At 41.3% G+C, this 20,481-nt stretch overlaps 1 protein-coding gene across 36 annotated transcripts in view, besides 2 other annotated features; it reads left to right on the plus strand.

Moving 5' to 3' along the window:
• Positions 1-20,481, plus strand: part of ARID1B (AT-rich interaction domain 1B) — a 434,754-nt gene that overhangs the window by 70,431 nt on the left and 343,842 nt on the right. The gene's annotated exons all lie outside the window — the stretch shown is intronic.
• Positions 5,927-6,624: an enhancer, noted in NCBI's record as "OCT4-NANOG hESC enhancer chr6:157173517-157174214 (GRCh37/hg19 assembly coordinates)". NCBI's record gives its function as "activates a minimal SCP1, AML or CMV promoter by ChIP-STARR-seq in naive and primed H9 embryonic stem cells {active_cell/tissue: H9 hESC(naive and primed)}" and the evidence as "EXISTENCE:reporter gene assay evidence [ECO:0000049][PMID:30033119]".
• Positions 6,625-7,320: an enhancer, noted in NCBI's record as "OCT4-NANOG-H3K27ac hESC enhancer chr6:157174215-157174910 (GRCh37/hg19 assembly coordinates)". NCBI's record gives its function as "activates a minimal SCP1, AML or CMV promoter by ChIP-STARR-seq in naive H9 embryonic stem cells {active_cell/tissue: H9 hESC(naive)}" and the evidence as "EXISTENCE:reporter gene assay evidence [ECO:0000049][PMID:30033119]".

The raw sequence follows: 20,481 nt of genomic DNA on the forward strand, positions 1-20,481 counted from the left end.
CCTGGCCAGAGGCCTTCTTGAGGTGTCTGGTGGTCCTTCGCTTTCTGCACATCTGTAACAGCCAGTTCTGAGAACCGATCGGCACGTTGTGTGTGTGGACGGGGCTGCGGTGGTGGGGAGAGGATTGGGCCATCTTGTTGGCAGACCCTAACATGCTGCTATCTCCCCCTCCCCAGTAACTAACTCATCGTTGACTCTCAGAGGAGAAGTCAGGGTGTCTGGAGAGCTGGAGGCTGACTGGGGGACGGGCCTGTTACGTGTTTTAACTGAGTCCCCGTTTTCCATGGACTCGCCTGCTGTGGCCCCTCCAGATGGCAAGTCCTCTTGACTTCCTACAGGACAGGTGGGGATTGGGAAGGGGGATCTCTGAATTGCTCCCTACAGATTGTTTACCCAGCCCCCCGCCACCCTCTGATTCCTGTCTTTGGGGTTCTGCACTTTAATTAGCTTGCTTCTTATCCTGTCACCTAGAACAGATTAAAACTTTAATTATCACTTGTCTTTCTGCTTTTCTCCTTCCAAAATTTTTTTGACCTTTCTTATCTGTTACCATCTCACCTCATGTTTTCTTTGCCCTTGTGGTATTTGTTTTTATTTCTTTACTGTCATTTTAATGGGGTCCCATGGAAGAGTAGAGAGAAACATGAGCATTTAATCTGTCTGTTTACCAGAAACCTCTGCAAAGGCATCTTTAATAAGCAGTTTTTTTTTTTAAACCAACCTGTTTTCTAATAGGTTTTAATACTGTGCTATCTGGTAATGTGCCAGAGTTTTCAGTGTCTCAAGGAATTGGTAGACTAAGAATAAACCTAAGAATAAATGAATTAAACAGCACAACTGGAGCGTCTCTGGCAGGGAACCTGGTCTGAGGAGGCCATGTAAGGGTGGGGTGGCCTTTGTTTAGATTCGCCAGGAAAAGCTTCAGGGAACTCAGGAAGTGCTGCTCAGGGGAAAGGGTCTCCCAGCTGTGTTTAGGACCCAGCGAATGGGAGATCTGAAGTGGGAAGGCCGGCCAGGCTCTCCCACCATCCAGAGGCAAAATGAGGTCTGGGTCTGTAGAGAACATCCCCAGTGAAGGGTAAGAGAGGAGAGTCCAGCTGAGATAGACGATGGGAAGGAAAGAGAGTTTTGGAGGTTTCTTGCAGATGAGAGCAGATATATTTTAATGAGGATGAAGATGATCCTAGTGTTGTAAATGTTAAGGATATCTTGAATGTGTTTACATTTGGTAGTTATTAACACACGTCTGCAGGTAAACATGATTTTTCTGGTTATCCTTTGCCTTTAGGAGAGAAAAAGAGGCAAGTTAAGTAAAGTATTTTAAGGTTATATTTAGTTCGAAAAGAAATTTCTGACTGTAGACCCGGCTCTCTGCAGATGTGGCTTGCTCTCCAGGAGTCACAGAACCCAACTCGACCTCCTCCCTGGAAGCCCACCAGAGAATCCAATAAATAAAACAGTCAGAGCAAGGGTGTTGTAATTGAGACCCCACCTACCTGGCCTTCCCCTTGCCCTGTCACTGGACAGGTGATACTAAGCATTCATATTTAGAATCGTGATGGAGACTTTGCCAGTCTTCAGTCCTCAAGGAAAGATGCAGTGGTGCTCATTTAAGGCAGAAAATATAACTAATGTCTGTGTTTCAGTGTAATTTTTAACAATAAAGAATGAAACGGGAAGAAATTTCCGATTAATACTTATGAACCCAGAAAATGAAGTTAGTCATTGTAGCATAATCCTTAGCTCCTCAGCCTTCAGTTGTACTGTTGCTGTATTTGAGCTTTATTGAAGAGAACAGCTTCACAGTATCTGTATGTGTGGCCCAGTGCCAAGACCAGTGTGAAACTAAAAACAACAACAGCAAACTGTTAGAGTAATTATAACAAAAGTCAAGTCTGTAGCCTTATGTGTCAGGAATAAAGAATAAGAGTTCAGTTTATTTGGCCAGTGTTTGGTGTTCACATTGCTGTTTATGTAACTCTACATATGGTCTTTCAAAGTGATCGTGCACTTCCAAAATGAAGTATCTACCCACTTTTATCAGCTTTCCCAAATGTTATCTTTTAATGTCTTCATCACGATTAGAACACCCATTAGTAATTAGGATAACTCAGGAAAAGGATCTTCCATGTGGACCACCATCCTGGCTGGAGGTTGTTATTCTTCTCTGTGCATTTTTGGTGCCCTGGATTTGGCCTGATCCTCAGGCCCCTTTAAGTTAAAAATACCCGGTGTGTGGTCTGCCAGCTGGCCCAAGGCCAGGCTTTTTATAGCCTTGTCTGGCCTGGGAATGGAGCTTAGCATGAGGGGAGGTGCCGGGGGGCCTTCTCTGGCTTGGTAGACCAGAAGTGTGGGGAGGCCCTGCTGCCTCGCTAAGTCTTAGCTCTGTCATCATAAATAAAAGACGAGTCATCTGATGGCAGTCCCTTTCTTCTCTGATATCTTTTGGTAAAATATTTGTTACAATAACCAAGGAGACAACTTTGAGTAAATTTCCCATTATTTTTGAAGCCTGTTGCCCCTTCTGCCAGGGAGAAACTTCACCGCCTGGGTCCATATACTTTCACTAATTAACTGAGCACCAGGTTCCTGGAGAAACATATTTATTAAATGTCAAAAATTTGGGGACATTTAGTCTTCATTTTTGGTCTTCTGTGTCCAGTGGCATTTTTCCTAAATTATGTCCAGCATTTCCTTGAGATTATGTATGCTATTTTTTATTCTAAATTGTTGCCTCGATTCTTCTGAAGGTACTCACGTGTTACCAGGGTTCTTCCCTCTCCTCCCCTGGGAGTACTTAGAAAACCATTTTTGTCTCCCTTCCTTCATGCCCTCTTCCCTGGAAGAGTTTTATATACTAAATCATAGGGTTAAAGTAATAAATGCCATTGATACCTTGCTTTGTTTTGTTATTAAACATTGGTAAGGAATTTGGTAAAGTGAGGGATAATGTTACAGAATTGTCATTACAAATAATTTTCAGGCTATACCCCACAGTCAGCCAACATGTGGGACCCGCTGCTAAGACTTAAAATATTAAATAGCAGAATGTTAATTAATTCATAGAGAGAAGCATCTGCATTTACGTAGTCTAAAAGAGTCAAAATTTAAACACCTCTTTGTGTAAATCGTTACAGTCTTTGCATGTTTTTCTGTCCCAGAGAGCAGACAATCACATTCATTTTCTCCTTCTTTTCTTGTTCATTACTAGATGGAAGGGGCAAAAGAAGAAAAAGACAAATATTTGGGTGCTTTTCTGTGCTGGGGAGGATAGCTTTTTTGGTTTTCTTTTGTTTTTAAAGCCCTTAAGGACCGTAGTTGGTAAGCCAATTGTCACAGTTTGGGTGGACCCTAAGGAGGGGAAGCCGTGTCATTGGCCCTGACACTGATTATTGAAGGACAATTGTTCACTTTCTCTCTCGGATTAAAAATGCATGAAAGCACCTTTTTGACACCGGGCTTTCTGAAACCCAGTGCTGTCTTTTTTTGTAATACTCCTGTGGATGTTTTTGCACAAAGTGGCACCTGTTAGAGCTGGAAGTGTTCTTGCACGGCTGTCTTTGATCTAGTAGCCCTGGACAACTTTAAGCACATAGTTACTAGATGCAGGCCCGCCCAGCCCCGGGAGAGCATATCTGGCTTGCACGTATTTAAGGTGATGTGCAGAAGAGAACTGGACCAATTGACAGGCTGCACTGTACACAATTACTGTGTTTCCCATTTGAATTATCACTTCATTTCTGAAAATGGAAAAGATGGGACGGAATGATAGGAAGTTTTGAGAATGCTACAATATATGATTAAATTGGAGACTCTTTTTGACTGGACAATATGAATCTGTATTTTTATTATTGCATTTTGGGTGATTTTGGACGCCAGTATTCTTATTTAGGATTGAATTCTCACATGAAATTGTGTAAATATTTTTCTTTTTGAGGACCTATTTCTAAAATTAAGCGGCTTTTTTGAATTTGTATTTTGAATTCCTAATTTTGTAGGCTATGCCACTTTTAAGACATAAGTGCCTAAAAGGATGAAAAGTAATAGAAAGTAGAATGGGGAAGTGGAAACACTGGAATCACCCCTTGCACTGAACGCATAGTAATTTTTAATGATCACAGAGTGGCTCTTCGTTGTAATTAGTGTAATTTCTCAAACAAGCATTTAATGTATAGGCAGTTTAAGCATTTTTTTCTTTCTGAAAATATGTTAGACTAATATTCTTTCAGAATTTCTTCTGGGAAGAAAGAATTGTCTATTTAAATTTTACTAAGGTTACCTTTTGAAGACCACTAACCTGGTTGAAGCAGTTAAACTTGCTATCCGTTCTTTGAAACCACATTGAGTGAGAAAATTAAAAAGGAAAATGGCTTAAATATTTTCCCCTTGACAGGAGAAATGATAAGTATTTACTGTAAAGTGTCCAGATAATGTAAAGGAATATGAAAGTCACAAAAATTCCCCCATCATCTTTCCACTCACAGATAACAAGTGGTTGTATGAAGGGAACGAGGTGCTTCATTAATCTTTGAACCTTGCGTATTTGTCCCGTATTTATTAACAGCATTGGGCAGTGTTTTTGAATGTTCTGTGTGGTTATATTATTTATTACCGTGGGGGAATGAGCCAGGTCTGGCTCTTTGAACACTGCTAATTTACATGAAGAAAATGTCCCCAAGGAGGAGACTTAACTAGGGAAAGACTCAGTTACCTTGGCCTCTCTCTGTGTGTGCCAGAGCCCCCCTGCAAGCACTAGGGGCTGCTTCTAGAAAGGGGACCCAGATCTTAAGACTTCGAGGAGGAAGATACCCTATTTGTTCTCCAAGACCATTCAGTCGTGAAGGGTTCAACTTGTTCCGGGTTATTTATTTAGCATTCTCTATTTTCTGCTTTGCTTTTGACACTCCAATGTTTAATTGTATATTTAGGAAATAACAATGAAGAGTACGTTTTTAAAAAGAAGAATGTTTTCTGGAAGGGATTTCCCCCCACTTTTGGACAGTGAGTTAGACTCCTTCTGAAGCCTCTGGATCTAGGTTATTACAGGGTTTGTCTTCTTGAAGCTGGAACTGTCCAACTGTTGTGCTATTTCAGACCTGGCCTGTCTTTCACTTTCAAGCTCCAGAAATAATTTATAGCTGTAGGGTGTCAGGAGTGGGTTTGAACTGGGCCTGCCCAACGTAACATGGAATTGTGCACAGATTGTTAAAATTACTATTTCTGCATTCAAATGACTAAGTACAGTAAACTTTTTACTGGCACAGTTAATTTATTTGAATATTTATTGGTCGAGTGCTTCACGTAGAAGACTAACATAATGAAAAAGCCCAGCACATACTCAGAGCTGATTTGGCTTTTTAAAAGATTCTAGGCTTGAATATAGCTAGCTAAATGGTCTTTAGCAAATTGACTGGCAGTAAATTGATCCCTGTGGACTGTGGCTTGAATCAGCCTCTCATTCTTTAAAGGTATTATGGAGATATTGTTATCTCAGCGCAAGGCTGGTCTAGAAAAGGGATGCTTTCAGTACAAATACTTGTTACTTACATATTTCCTTCCTAACTGGGTAAAGTTATATTTCTATTCTTTACCTCTCGCAAGAGCATATAGGGACTTCGAATCAGAATATTTTGTTCAATTGTAATAGCCTTCACAAATTTAGTTTGTTTCTGTGTTTAAGTCTCTTTTGACTTAAAAAAAAAAATTTGAGGCCGGGCGCAGTGGCTCACACCTGTAATCCTAGCACACTGGGAGGCCGAGGTGGGAGGATTGCCTGAGGCCAGAAGTTTGAGACCAGCCTGGGCAGCATAACGAAACCTCCCTGTACAGAAAAAATTTTTAAAATTAGCAGGGCGTGGTGATGTGCACCTGTAGTCTCAAGCTTGAGCGGTTGAAGTGGGAGGACCCTTTGAGCTCAGGAGTTTGAGGTTACAGTGAGCTGTGATGAGGCAACTGCACTCCAGCCTGGGCAACAGAGCAAGAAGACTCTGTTTCCCTGTCTCTTAAAAAAAAAAAAAAATTAAGAGCCAGTGATTTGGACCTTCATTAATTCAGTGTTTTCATTGACTTACTCATATGACTATTCCAACCAGAAGGATGTAATTTTTCCCCCTCTGAGCCCCCAATTTTACCATTAGCAGATGTTTTTCCAAAACTAACCACAAGGAAGCATGTCAAGACTAACTCAGAGGATTATACAGAGGATTAAACTATGATTTAATTACAACAGTGGGCTCTCTGGCTCTATTAATAGCTAATGACTTGTATTATATTTTCCCGTGCCTGTGAACTCTATGCTATTTTAGACCTTTCAGATATTAGCGACCCCAGCTACAGCTATCTTACTTACTCTGAAAGTAGGAGCCTCTCGTTTCATGTTTAGTTTTGTTTTATAACTTAATATTTCTTCCTCCTTCACTTAATTGGGAGAGCAAAAGGTTTACTAAACAAACAGGTTTGAAAACCCAAAGCTTCCCTCATGTCTTGGTGAGCTTGCTGTGAAGTGGAGTAGCCTGTTATAATGCTGATAGGGATAATGGCTGGAAGCTTTGTGCTTCCTTAAGGAATGTGCTACATGCATCATTTGCACATACAGTGATCGGTTTGACTGGTGGAATTACTAAGACCATGGTATAGGGTGGTACTTTAAAATCTTACAGTGCTTAAGGACTGGATTAGGAATTAGGACTTAAGAATTCTAGGTTTAACTCTGTGCTTTAAATCTTACTTAACACATTGGGATTATAGTACTTAAGTATGCCTGTATTGAAATGTGTTGTGAGACTAGATGAAAGTCTATGTAAAAATGAATTTGAAATATTTGGATATATTCTTTAAAACAATCTTATTGTGTGTTTTTATTCAGAGCCCTAGAGTTGTCCTGAGGATGAGTATTTTCCCACCGCGGGCATGAAAATGGATCCTAATGGTAGACCCAGTCCTCTAGGGTGGTCAGTTTGAGGCCCAAGCTTCCTTTCCAGGGAGGCAGTGGCTTAACCTGGGTCACCCTGTAGGAGCAGTAGCTGGAGGCTGCAGGACAGGTGCTTTTTTCTCCTCCCACGTGTGCTTTTTGTGGTGGAAGAGGGGGCAAGGTGTAGAAATGTCTGACTCTGATTCCTCCATCTGCCAGCACAGCTTCTCTTGTTCTCTGTGGTCTCACCTTTATGGCACAGTACTCTTTCCTATTTGTCTTTGAGCTCTGAGGCTCAGCCCTAACCTCGAAGAGATGGCTTCTGCATCTGTCAGATGGGTCTCATAGTATTACCTGCCTCCATACGTTTTGTTTTTAGTTTTGTTTTAAGATAAGGCCTTGTTCTGTTGCCCGGACTGGAGTACAGTGGCACGACCACGGCTCACTGCAGCCTAGGACTCCTGTGTTCAAGTGATCCTCCCACCTCAGCCTCCTGAGGAGCTGGGACCACAGGCATGTACCACCATGCTGGCTAATTTCATTTTTTGTGGAGATGGGGTCTCACTATGTTGCCCAGTCTGGTCTCGAACTCCTGGGCTCCAGTGATCCCCCACTTTGGCTTCTCACAGTGCTGGGATTACAGGTATGAGCCACACTGTGCCCAGCCCTCCATAAATTTTTGTGAGGTTAAATGAGGTGATACTTGTAAATAATTTAATGTTTTCACTCACTAAAAAACAAACTTTTTTTGGTGAGAACGTTATGAATGTTTTCATAAAACATGTCGTTCTTCAGGGAGTTGTGAATTGTGACATTAACAATTTCCTTTTATCAACCAAAGCTAGCTACTAGTACCTGTTCCTACCCCCTCCTCTTTCTGTTTTTCTGGCAGGGGGCACTAAGGAACGAACGGAATTGCCAGGGTGAGCTGGAATGAGCTTGAAAGGCTGTTTTCCTTGGTTTTGAGTGATTATTGACTTGTACTTGGGGACTTTCTGTGGAATTCAGAAAATTAAGGTTTCTTATGACCCATAACCTGAGGCAGTTCAGGAAGCCCTTTGGGGCTGTGAAGCAGGGGTAGGGGCTTGTCCTGGAGCAGAGCACGGAAGATTCAGGTGTCTGCTTGGTTCCTCCAGGCTCTGGGATGTTAAGCTTATTAAATAGCCTCTCTAGACCCAGGGAACATGTTGGGTCAGCTTTCAAAATTGACAAAATTGTCTCAGGACTGAGGAAGTGTGGCCTGTTCCACAGTGCTTACAGCCTGCTGCTGTAAACCGTCGCGGTGTGCCCCCGCACCCATCCCGGCCATCCTGCCACGCGGAATTGTGTCCACCTCTAGATACCAGCTAACACTGTGCTATTTGCTTGTTGTGTTTGAATATATAGGGCACAGATGAAACAGTGAAAGATTTAGGAAGGTTTTATTGAGAGTTCATTTCTTTTGCAAAAATGTTACAGCACATTAACTGCTGTAATTACCATAAATAATTAAAACAAAAATATGATCATAAGAATAAATGAACAAAATGTGTTAAGTTGTAACATGGGCCTCTGTTGATTGTTCTGGCCTGTTTACTTCCAGTCAATTACTAGGCAGTTTTTGTCCACTTGGGCTGTTTGATAAGGCTTTTGTGATAAACTATGAGTTCGGGGCAGTTGGGGTTGGGATGGGTGCTTATCATATATCATAGAAGGCATTTCATGAAGCATAAAATTCAAATTGTAATAATGTCACTAGTGTCTAAGTTAACACGAAGAGATGAATGAACATAGGTCAGAGAGATGGGGAATGATGTCCACTTTTGGAAGAGCAAGTTTGTAATACTATTATCTAAGTTATTCTTAAGAATTAGTAATAGATTTTTAAGGCGTATGGATGATATTATACATTTAAAGCCCATTAGCGAGCACATTGTTTTTTGATTTTCGAAAGTTTGGGAATTAGTCAGAATTTACACTGAGAGTAGACTTCAGCTACAAAAATATTGTGTGCAAGTGTACCTTCTGCACAGGGTTCCGGTGTGTCTGAGGAAGGCGTGTGCTAACACAGACGCGTGGGATGCTGACCCACAAAACACTGCAGGCCCGTCCACTTTGTGTGTTTCACGTGGCGGCAGACTACACGCTTACCTTTATTTTCAGTTTCTTTTCTGACAAAATATCACATATTTCAGTCAGTGTTTCTGATAAAGTTTGTAAAATAATCATTTTATAATTATATTAAGATGAAATACTAACAAGCTAAACAATAAGTTAGCTATATGAAAACTGGTTAAAATAATGAAACCTTAAGTTCATCAAAGCAGTTCATCATTTTGAATGGAGCCCTAAATTGTGTGTGTGTTTCTCTGTCTTTGTGTGTGTGAGTGTGCGTGCATGTGAGTATCTTTTTAAATGCCACAACTAGAGATGGGAATATGGAATTCAGTGATTTACATTGGAGAAATTAGCTCTGGAATCTAGGAACCAGATGGCTACTCTTAGAGGATCCTCAGGGATGCTATCATACTTTTATGAAAAAGACAATTGTTGAAATACCAGTATGAGAATAAAGATTATAGTGGTTTGTTCTCTGTTATCAAAATTTTCAGGAAAAATGTGGTTATGTAGCCTACAATTTTCACGTATTATAATTATAACTCTTCGTGTGGACTGGTTGTAGATGGAGGGAAGACAGCAGGCTCTGGAGACTTTCTGGACCCCTGCTTCTTTGTAGGGTTGTTATGAGGACAACATGTGTTCCTAGATATTGAGGTCTTAGAGCAGTGCCTGGAGTGAGGTAAACAACATAAACTGATGTAGGTTGCCTAACGTTAACTGGAGCGAACTTACTGCAGGTGCCATGTGGAAAGATGTGTGTATGTTTCAGCAAATACGTTCCACTATACCAATGCCTAGAACCATGTATGTGTGTGTGTATGTGGTGACCATATAGCCTATGCTTTTCAGGATGCATTGAATGATAACAACATAAACACTTAAAACCTCCCACTGTGTGCCATGTGCTGGTTTTTGGCATTTTATGTACATTAACTCATCAACTTCTTAGGAATTCTAAGATGTATGTCCTATTAACTCATTTTACAGATGATAAAACTAAGGCATGGAGAGATTAAGTAACTTCCCCAAGTATTTCTAGTGGAGAAGCCGGGGTTGCATCCAGACTCTGACCTTAACCACTGCTCCATGCTGCCTCCCTGCATCAAGCACTGTGTCTTATTATAAAAACACTTGTGTATCCACATGTGTGTGTCTGTATATGGCAGAGCCCATTTAATACATCCTGTGTGTGTGGGCATGCATATCCTCTCTCTCTCTCTCTCTCTCTCTCTCTCACACACACACACACACACACACACACACACACACACACACAAACTGATGTTGGCTTTCTAAAATGCTTAAGCCTAGTAAATCTCAATGCTGAAAAACCCATTCAGTCATATTTTGTTGAAACTGTGACAAAATATAAGGGGAAGAAATTTGGGGGAAAAACTAGAAAAGTAATACATATCTAAACTGGACCGTTGGGAGCTTGACGTGCTGGCAATCTAAGGGTAGGATGGGCTATCTGACCTCACTCATTCACCCCAAGGCTGGAAGGGTCCAGAAGGGCTTGCAGTTGGATTTATGGGAGCCGCATGGAGGAGCTGGGATTCAGGAAAATTTACATGTTTGCTTGAACTGTTAACCACAACTAGAACATCAGTGTAGTAAGATTTGTCTGTTTACTGGGTGCTTTTACATCAGTAATCTCCTTTGAACCTCATAATAGTTCTCTTAAATGACACCAAAAGTATTACCATTTTCCAGACGAGGAAATTGAGGCTTAGGTTAAGTGACATTCCTAAAGTTACACAGTTTTGAAGTGTCAAAAGCTGAACTTTGGTTTTCTGATAACAAAACAATATTCTTTGATTCTGTCACCCGCAATTTCAAGAGAGTGTCAGTGCCCTGGTCCCCTGCTTTGTGGAGGCTGTACAGAGCCCCTGGGAAGCTGAGGTGCCAGGCATACCCACTGAGAATGCAAGGACAGGTGGCTGTTAGAAGCAGAGGCCCTGGTGTGTACTTGGCCTGGGGGCTAACTTCTAGTATGGGGTTTCAAGAAGCCCTCTTGCTCAAGTGTGAAGGAGGGCTTTGTTCTGAAGCTTCTATTTGAATTGGAAACTCAGGGTGTTGTTGAGCTAGGAAGGGGGCTGAAGAGCCATGACCAAGGTGCTGGCCACCTACTCTGGAACTACTTTGATTTTTTGTTTCAGTTTGGCTTAAGGAAACAAAGAGGCAAATAGTGTTCTGTTCCTAACTGGTATAGTAGTCAGTTTTGCATTGGAAATATACAGTCATGTTGCTTAACAACAGAGATATGTTCCGAGAAATGTGTCATCAGACAGTGTAGTCATTGTGTGAACACCATAGAGTGTACTCACACAAACCTAGATGGTATAGCCTGCTGCACACCTAGGCTATATAACAGAGCCTGATGCTCCTAGGCTGCAAACCTGTGCTGCATGTGACTGTATTGAATACTCTAGGCAACTGGAACACAGTGGCAAGTGTTTGTGCGTCAACATATTGAAACATAGAAAAGATACAGTAAAAATACAACTTAGGTGTCCATCAGTGGGATGAATGGATAAAGAAAATGTGGTACACAGACAGTAGAATGTTATTCAGCCATAGTAGAGAATGAAATCCTGTCATTTCGAACAACGTGGATGAAACTGGAGGACATTATGTTACGTGTAATAAGTCAGGCACAGAGAGACAAATAATGCATGTTCTCCCTCATAGATGGGAGCTAAAAAAAAAAAGTGAACTCATGGAGCTGGATAGAATGATGATTAACAGAGGCTGGAAAGTGTAGTGGAGAGATGGGAGGGGGGATAAAGAGGGGATGGTTAATAGGTACAAGTATACTGTTAGAAGGAATAAGATGTAGTGTTTGATAGCACAGTAGGGCAACTATAGTTAACAATAATGTAATTTCAAAATCACTGAAAGATTGGAACTGGAATGTTCCTAACACAAAGAAATGACAAATGTTTGAGGTGATGGATATATTAATTACCCTGATTTGATGATTACACATTGTATGCTTGTATCAAAAGATCACAAGAGGCTGGGCTCGGCAGCTCACACCTGTAATTCTAGCACTTTGGGAGGCCACGGTGGTCAGATCACTTGAGGTCAGGAGTTCAAGACGATCCTGGCCAACATGGTGAAACCCTGCCTCTACTAAAAAGTATACAAAAATTAGCCAGGTGTGGTGGCGTGTGCCTGTAGTTCCAGCTACTCAGGAGGCTGAGGCAGGAGAATCGCTTGGACCCAGAAGGTGGTGGCTGGAGTGAGCCAAGATCCCACCATTGCACTCCAGCCTGGGTAACACAGTAAGACTCTGTCTCAAAACAAAAACAAAAACAAAAAACAAACCACACATACCCCATGAATATGTACAACTGTTACGGATTCATAATAATTAAAAGTTAAAAAAACCGTAAAAATGGTTCACCTGTGTAGGGCACTTAACTGTGCATGGAGCTTGCAGGACTGGAAGTTGCACTGAGCGAGTCAGTGAGTGAGTAGAGGGTGAATGTGAAGGCCTAGGGCATTACTGTACACTACTGTAGACATTATCAACCCTATACACTTAGGGTACACTAGATTAATTTTTTAAATGATTATGCTACAATATGATGGTGATTACCATGTCACTGTTTGATAGGAATTTTTCAGTAATTGTATGGGACCACTCTTTTTTATTTTTTGAGACAGAGTCTTGCCTGTCGCCCAGGCTGGAGTGCAGTGGCCGCAATTTCAGCTCACTGCAACCTCCGCCTCCCGGGTTCACGCCATTTTCCTGCCTCAGCCTCCCAAGTAGCTGGGGCTACAGGTGCCCGCCACCACGTGTATGGGACCACCGTTGTATATGTGGTCCATCATAGACCGAAACACTGTTATGTGGTACATGACTGTAAATGAATCAGAATTGTCTGATGATTCCTTTTCTGTCATCCCTTACACTACTGGTGCCAGTGCCATTAGGATGGCTGCCCATCGCCTGAGTTTTGGCCATAAAGGAATGGAGAGCAGGGAGAGTTCGCCTTCCCTTAAGAGTTGGCATTTTTTGTTTGGTGCCTTACTTGATGTTTAGATTTTAGTTCTTTAAAAAAAAAAATTCTAGTGTTTACAGGTGTGCTGTAGTGCACCTGTGTAAAGGAAACTTAAAGTTGAATTATTTTATAATTTATACACCAGCCTTTTATACAGAGCAATGCTTATGGCAGCTTCTTTCTCTGTGTTAACTGGTATTAAAGCTTTTCTAGATTAAAAGCCGTAGGTTGCAAAACATGGTTTTTTGCATGTGCAGTTATTTCTTTACCACTGAGTTGTCCTTCCAAGCCTGGTCTAAATGTGCTTGAAAATCACCATCTGCTCCCTGCAGTTTGGAGAGGGCACAGAAAGACTAAGGTGAAAAGCTGTCACTTCTAATGTTTTCATTCAGACTTTCACACCCTTCTTGTCTAGTTACATAATTGTATGCAGCAGGAGTTGTTTCAACCATTTGGTCTTGTCCTTATTTTGAGAGAGAGAGAGAGATTAATTTTAAGAGAGTTGGGTCACAGTACTGAGGCAGATTTGAGAATCTGATAAACCATGAAAGTGTTCAGAATGGAATCTTCCTGCTCAGTCAGTTTGTTAGTGGATAAGTCCATTGCATAAATGACATGAATATGAACAAAAGCACCTATACTTATGCATATATCTCCCTTTGCAGAATATGCTTTAAATTTTGCAGAATATGCTTACAAATTTTTAATGCCGTATGCTTAGATTTTACTTTTTGAAGTCAGTATAGCACAGAGTTGATGATATAATAGTGCTTTACAATTTTATTTGATGTTCAGAATTTATTATAGATAATATAGAGGAAGGATTTTGAATTGTTCACATAACTTATTTTTTCAGTGTCTTCTTTTTTTTTTTCTTAAAAATTGATCTATTTTGGTTTTGATTGGAATGAATGGCCACAATAGGATTTGAAAATGAAACAGGACAGAAGCCTGTTAGTGTAAACTGGCAATAATTTCTAATAGTCAGGAACAAGAAGACCATTAAATCGTGGGATTTATGCCATTGAAAAGGTAGTAAGATAAAATAAGAATATTACTATACTCTAGAACTGTAAATTTTGATCTTTCTGCGAGTTAATTATCTAACATCCATACCAAGCTGGAGACAATAGCTGACTCTTTCATTTACTTGGAGGTGATTGTAGGAGAAGAAAAGGATTTCAGTCTTCAGTTGGCAAAATGATGGTTCTAACTTGCATGTAATGGAATCTTTAGTATACCCACAAAAGATTATTTCATTAAGATGTTAATAATAGATTTTTGAGGAACAGCGTTTTATACTTTTCATAATTAGGACATAGAACTTAAAACAGAAATTCTTTTTTTTCCCCCTCTACTTCTTTTCTAGCTTGAGAAAATCTGGATCTCTTTAGAAAAAGCCTTTGGTCTATTTAAGCACTCTGTTTGTGCCAGAGTTACTTGCTTTTTTGTGCAACCAACATTTTAGAATTTCTCTAATGACACAAAAACTTGGTTTGGAAAAAGATACACATTCCAGGCCCTCAGAGAACAATAGCAGAGCCACGTAGTAGGTCTGTCAGCCACCTTGTACACTGTGGTCGTTAGTAGAGCCGAGACGGAGAGGTACTGGTTGTATGAAAGGTAGACAGAGGAGCCTTTGCAGGAAGGATAGGTGACATTTGAAGGTGCCAGTGAAGGAACAACAGGACTCTGTGTGTTTGGTGGTGGGGAGGGGGGACAGGCATGTTCTTGACAGGGGAAACAGTTTATCCATTGCTTTATAATCCTAGACTGGCATGGTGTGCTGACGAAGAGTAACCTGGAGAATGTGATAGAAGTCTGGGTTAAGAAACTAGACCAGGCCAGGCGTGGTGGTTCATGCCTCTAATCCTAGCACTTTGGGAGGCTGATGCCGGTGAATTGCTGGACACAGGATTTCGAGGAATTCGAGAGCAGCCTGGGCAACATGGCAAAACCCTGTCTCTACAAAAAATACAAAAAAATTAGCCAGGCATGGTGGTGCTAGCCTGTGGTCTCAGCTACTCGGGAGGCTGAGGTAGGAGGATTGCCTGAACCCTGGAGGCGGAGGTTGCAGTGAGCTGTGATTGTACTACTGCACTCAAGCCTGGGTTTCAGAGTGAGACCCTGTCTCAAAAAATAAAAAAATAAAAAATTAATAAATAAATAAGAAACCAGACCAGAGACAGGTTGTGAATGTGAATGGTCTTATACACCTTCCCACGGAACCTGAACTTTATCATGCTGAAATGGGAGCCCTTTCTCTTTGCTTACAAAGCTTTAATAAGGAGGCAGCTATGAAGTCTGTACTCTAGAAGGCTCATTGCTGGTGGTATGGAAAGTGGGCTAGACAGGGAGCCTGAAAGGAAGGTGAGTGACAAGGGAGTGACCCTGTAGACCTTGAGATGTGCAGAAGCAGTGGGGCCAAAAGGGAGGTAGGACTGACCCAAAGGGCATTTGTGAGTTTGAAGTCAGGCAAAGGAGGGTTTCTGAGATGATTTTCCAGTGTGCAGCGTGGGCATCCAAGTAGGTGTCAGTATAGAGTTCAAGGAATCCAGGAGGAACAGGTCTAAGGGAAGACAGTGACGTTGCTTTTGAACATAATTTGATTTATGGTAGGTGTCTTGAGGAAACAGAAATGTTCAGTGGACAGCTGGAAATATGGGTCAGGGGAGTTGTGGATGGTGAAGAGAGACATTTGAGGTTTGGGTCTACAGTTACTGTGTGGCTCAGTGGTTCTGTTCTGGGCTTTCCATTGGAATTGGTTGGGGAGCCTTAACAAATAGCCGTGGTGTGCCCCATCCTCAGATTTTACTACAGTTGGCCTGGCGCGGGCCCTTGGCCCTGTGTAAGCAGGGCTGAGAATCACAATTGTAGGCCTACAGTGGAAGCCACAGGAAGGGATGAGTGTTGTTCAAGGAGAGGGCTGAGCACACCTTGGCACCCCAACACTTAAGGGGGGTATATGGCGAAAGAGGGCACAGTGAGAAAGTAAGACGAAGGCAGAACAGTAAGAGAAAAAAACCAGAAAAGAGCTCTGTCATAAAATGGATGGATGTGGGCCATTCCAAAGGAGGATGCAGTGGCCAGCACCGCCATGCACTACAGAAGGTCAGGGAGAAATAAGGATTAAGAAATGGCCAGAGAGCCTTCCTGCAGTGATTGATGGTACAAGGCAAAGCGGAGTGGTGTAAGGAGTGAATGAGGAAAGGAGGAGGCGGTAGATGTGGACGGCTCTTTGGGACTGCATGTCTTGTTGTGTGGGAGCCAGGAGTGCTTCTCTGTTAATGAAGGCCTACCCTGTGCCCGCTTGGGGGCTGGGCCCTGGCAGCGGAAAGTCATGTCTAGATCACTCTTCCTGCTCATGAAGAGACAGGGAAATAGTGAATGACAGAACAGATGATGAGCTGAGTTTCATAAGATGAATAACAGTCATTTAAAAACAAAAGGCAGGTGGGTAGAAAGAACAGCAGAGGAGGTGGAGGGTGGCGTCAGTGCCTTGACGGAATATGGGCCTGCGCCTTAGTTGCACGTGAGATGATCCTGGAGACAGTGCCGGGTCATGGAGGATGTGAAGATTAAGTTGGGAAGTTTGACTTGACCCTGTACTTCCTCTCCACTTCTAAGAATGCCTGAAATTAGCATGTTAGGTCACTTTTTAACCTGCTGCTTGTGGGGATAAGAAGGATTTAAAGGGAAGGAACCTGGAAACCACCTGTTCTGAGTCTAGGCACACAAAGACCAGAATAAGATGGGACCTCAGCAGATTAGTATAGTGGTGGGTAATAGAGATGAGAAGGAAAGGGGTGGCTTTAAATCTATTTAGAGGACTAACGAGGCAGGACAGGGAAGTTGATTGCATTAGGGCAAGAAGGTGTGGGATGGGTGAGCAGGAGACTTGGATGACTCTGGATTCTCAAGGTTGGATGGAAGAGAAGAATATGGATCTCTCAGCCAAGAGCCTGAGCATAGAAAAAGAGGCCAGTTTTAAAGATGATGATGATAAGTTTGGTTTTGGATATACTGATTTTGAAATGATTGTATTGGTTGTGGATACTTGAGGAAAGTAGAGAGTAGTTTGTATTTCTTTTTTCCTTTAAGAATCTTAAAACAACATATATATCAAACTCTCCTGTGAAACACAGGAGAGTTGTATCTCTATTTTATAGATGGGGAACCTGAAGAAATTAAAATGCTGACTTTCCAAAAGTATGAAATAGGAAGTGGAACCCAGGTTAGTGAATACTCCAGTTCTGTGTCTTGATTAATTGAGCAATTGCCAAAACTGTGTTTTTCAGCTGTTGGTTGGATGAAAGATGAATTCTTCCCTGTATGATGCTGCACACAGCTTCTGGGCATTTTGGATGGGTGCTGGGCCTCTTTGAGTCCTTGGCAAAATCCATGTGCAAAATTGGATGTGTGGAGTGTGGAGAGGGAAGGAGAGATTCCGTTACTTCTTGGGCCTCACTAGTTCGAACATTCCGTTTCCAGACTTGCAATACCATCATCTCAAAATTGTTCTTTGAAATAACTAAACAATAATTTTCAACCTATAACAGATGATTTGTTTTGTATCCTTTTTTTTCTTCAAGTAGAAAATGGAAAAATTATGTCTGTAGAACACAGTAGACTGGAAATGACTTGTGAGAACTAGTTTTATATTTTCTTAAAACTAATCTTCTCCCTCATAGCAAAGCCTTATGTACTTAAAGTAATTGAATGGACTGCAGGGTATACTGGGAATTGTAGTTTTCCACTTCTTTGTATTCTGAAGATTAATAATCTTGCAGCCCTCTGAGTGGGATAAGGAGAGGATGCTCTCTGACAAATTGTTATCTTGTCTTTCAGAGGTGTGCTTCGGGCAGTGAGTATACCTTCCATGTCTCCCCTGGGCTCTTGGCTTGATTCTAAGTAATGGTAATATATAGGATGGCTTTAAAATTGTTTTTGGCTTATGATATTTTACTTTCCACTAGCTATCTGTAATCTTTTCTTTTAGCCTAGTTTTTAAAAAGTTGTTATTTGTATCAAGGTTATATGTGTAAATGGTTTACAGAGTCCATGCTTGTGTAAGCTGTGCTGTCAGTAACAGTAGGTACTGCCCGCCTTAGCCCATGCCCACGTCCCCAGAGGCGTCCACTTTCAACCCTTGTAGCTGCTCTTTGAGGATACCTTCATGTCTAGAATCACATTCTTACATTGCTCCTTGAAGTTTTAGGCTTTGTCTGTTGCTGTCCCCGCTGGAAGATGATGATTTAGTACTCCCTTCTCACTTGGCCCTCACCACAAGCATGACCCTTTATCCTCTCTCATCCTCCTAGTGTAGACTTGCCGGAATTGTGGTTTGATCAGTCTGGTATTTACATTATGAAGGGTGGGGAAACACTATTCAGAAATGAGCCATGTCATAAACTGTTGTTTTCCTTTTCTACACAGCTCTTTGTTTTTCGTAAATAATTTTTTTTAAATTTTCTATATAAACTTACCATGCACTCCCCTTTAGAATCTCAATCGGTTATAACTGTCTGTCTCTCCTTGTAAGATGTTTAGATCCATCAGTTATGTCATCAGTTTTATCTTCTAGAGGACTTCCTATCCTAGAGATTTCTGGCTTGCTCCAGTCTCTCTGGATTCACTTTCTGCTGATGTTCAACTATTACCCTGGGATTTTCCTTTACTTGGAGTTTCCCTTCACTTTCTTGTGTTGGATCTTTGGTTTCCTGGATTCTGTGTCTTTCTTGTTTTGGTGGAGCCAATCCTTCAGTAGCTTTCTTAAGAATGGTTCAAGAGACCAAATTTTTAAGATCTCACATGTCTGAAAATGTCTTTAAAATAAAAGACATTTTACCCTCATGCATGACTTATAGATTGAGAATGGAATTCTGGAAATCACTTTCCTTCACAATTCTGAAGCACTTGCTCAACTGTCTTAACCACCAGTCTTGCTGTTGTGAAGTTTGAAGCCATTCTTGCTTCTTGTTTCCTAATCCTTTGCATGTGACTCTCTTCCCTCAGCCCCTAATGTTGTAGGACCTTCTTTTGGTCTTTAGTTTTGTCTCAGTCCATTTTAGTTCATTTCCCCACGTACTCTGGCTCAATTATGGAAAAGCTCTTAAGTTTTTTTTATCTCCCTGTTCTCCTTCATTTTTACTCTTCTCTCTTTCTAGAACTCATCATCTCATACTAGACTTTTAACTTTATCTCTTCTTCTATTTTTCATGTCTTTTCCTTTTTGTTCCATTTTCTAGAAAAGTTTTTCATTTCAATTATATTTCTAATTTCCAGGAGCTCTTTCTGTTCCTCTAAGACTGCTTCCCTCCTTCCCTCCTTCCCTCCACCTTCCTCCTTTTTCCTTTTCTTAATTCTTTTTTGTTTTGTTGTAAAAGACTCCTGTTCTTATTTGAGGGTAGATTATTTTTTCTTACCTCTTTGAGATACTGATTGTACTCTGTTTTGCATAGTTTCCTTGTCGTCTAACTTGCCCTTTTCTGTTTGTTTTGGTCCCTATTTTTATGTTAAAGTCTTTCCCCAAGTAATTATTGGTTGCCTGGCCAGTTGTTCATCATAAGAACTACTGTGGGGACCTTGGTGGGCTCCTTAGGGAAATCTGGGACATTCCCACTCCCATCCTGGCTGTATTTAGACCTTTCTTATTGGTCCAGCCTCAGGTTTACCACAGAAAGAGGTCTGTTGGCAAGGTTGATTGTGCTGGGGGATTCTGTGGATACTGCTGTGGTACTTCTGCAGCAGTGGTTCTGAGGAGCCCCTCTTTTGCTCTTCTACGAGGAGGAAATCTCTGGGCATCTGCCAGGGTGAAGGAGGAGCTGTGCTTAGTGGGAGAGTGAGTGCTTCTTAGTCACCCCATCTACCGCCACACTATACTCGGAGGTGTCTGCTGCCACCAATCGCCGAGCCTTTGGATGGTTCTGCCTTGTCAGCTGGGTGTCGGACTTAACCTTTCCAGGTTGGGTAAGTTAGTTACTATTTGTCCATCTGTTTCTAGCTTCCAAAATTTTTGGCTGTTTTTGTTCCTCTTCTTGTGGGTTTGTTTTATAAAAATAAACAAAAAGCAGGCAAGCAAAAAGCAAACAGTACTGCCATTTTTATTACTAGATGTGAGTGCTGAATCTGCTGTCTTTATCCAGAGTCTCTTTAGGTTAAAAATATGTGAGTCATAAAATGAAAACAGTTTGGTTTCGTTTACATTTGTGGGTCTGACTGCTGTTGTGTGCTACTTTATAAATACCTTTGTAATTTATGTTAATATGTTCATGGCTGTGGGTTACTGTCTGTCTAATACATAAACAGAATTGTCACAGACATTAAAATGTAATTAACAGCTACAAGAACTGTCTACACGAGTTCTTTTGAATGGTTTATACTACTTGGAAACGTTGAAAAACTCAGTTGATTTTGCAAGCATCATGGAAGTTACTTCGTTTAAGTGTGATTTAGTGCATT

Source organism: Homo sapiens, chromosome 6, assembly GCF_000001405.40.
Source record: "Homo sapiens chromosome 6, GRCh38.p14 Primary Assembly".
Lineage (NCBI taxonomy): Eukaryota > Metazoa > Chordata > Mammalia > Primates > Hominidae > Homo > Homo sapiens.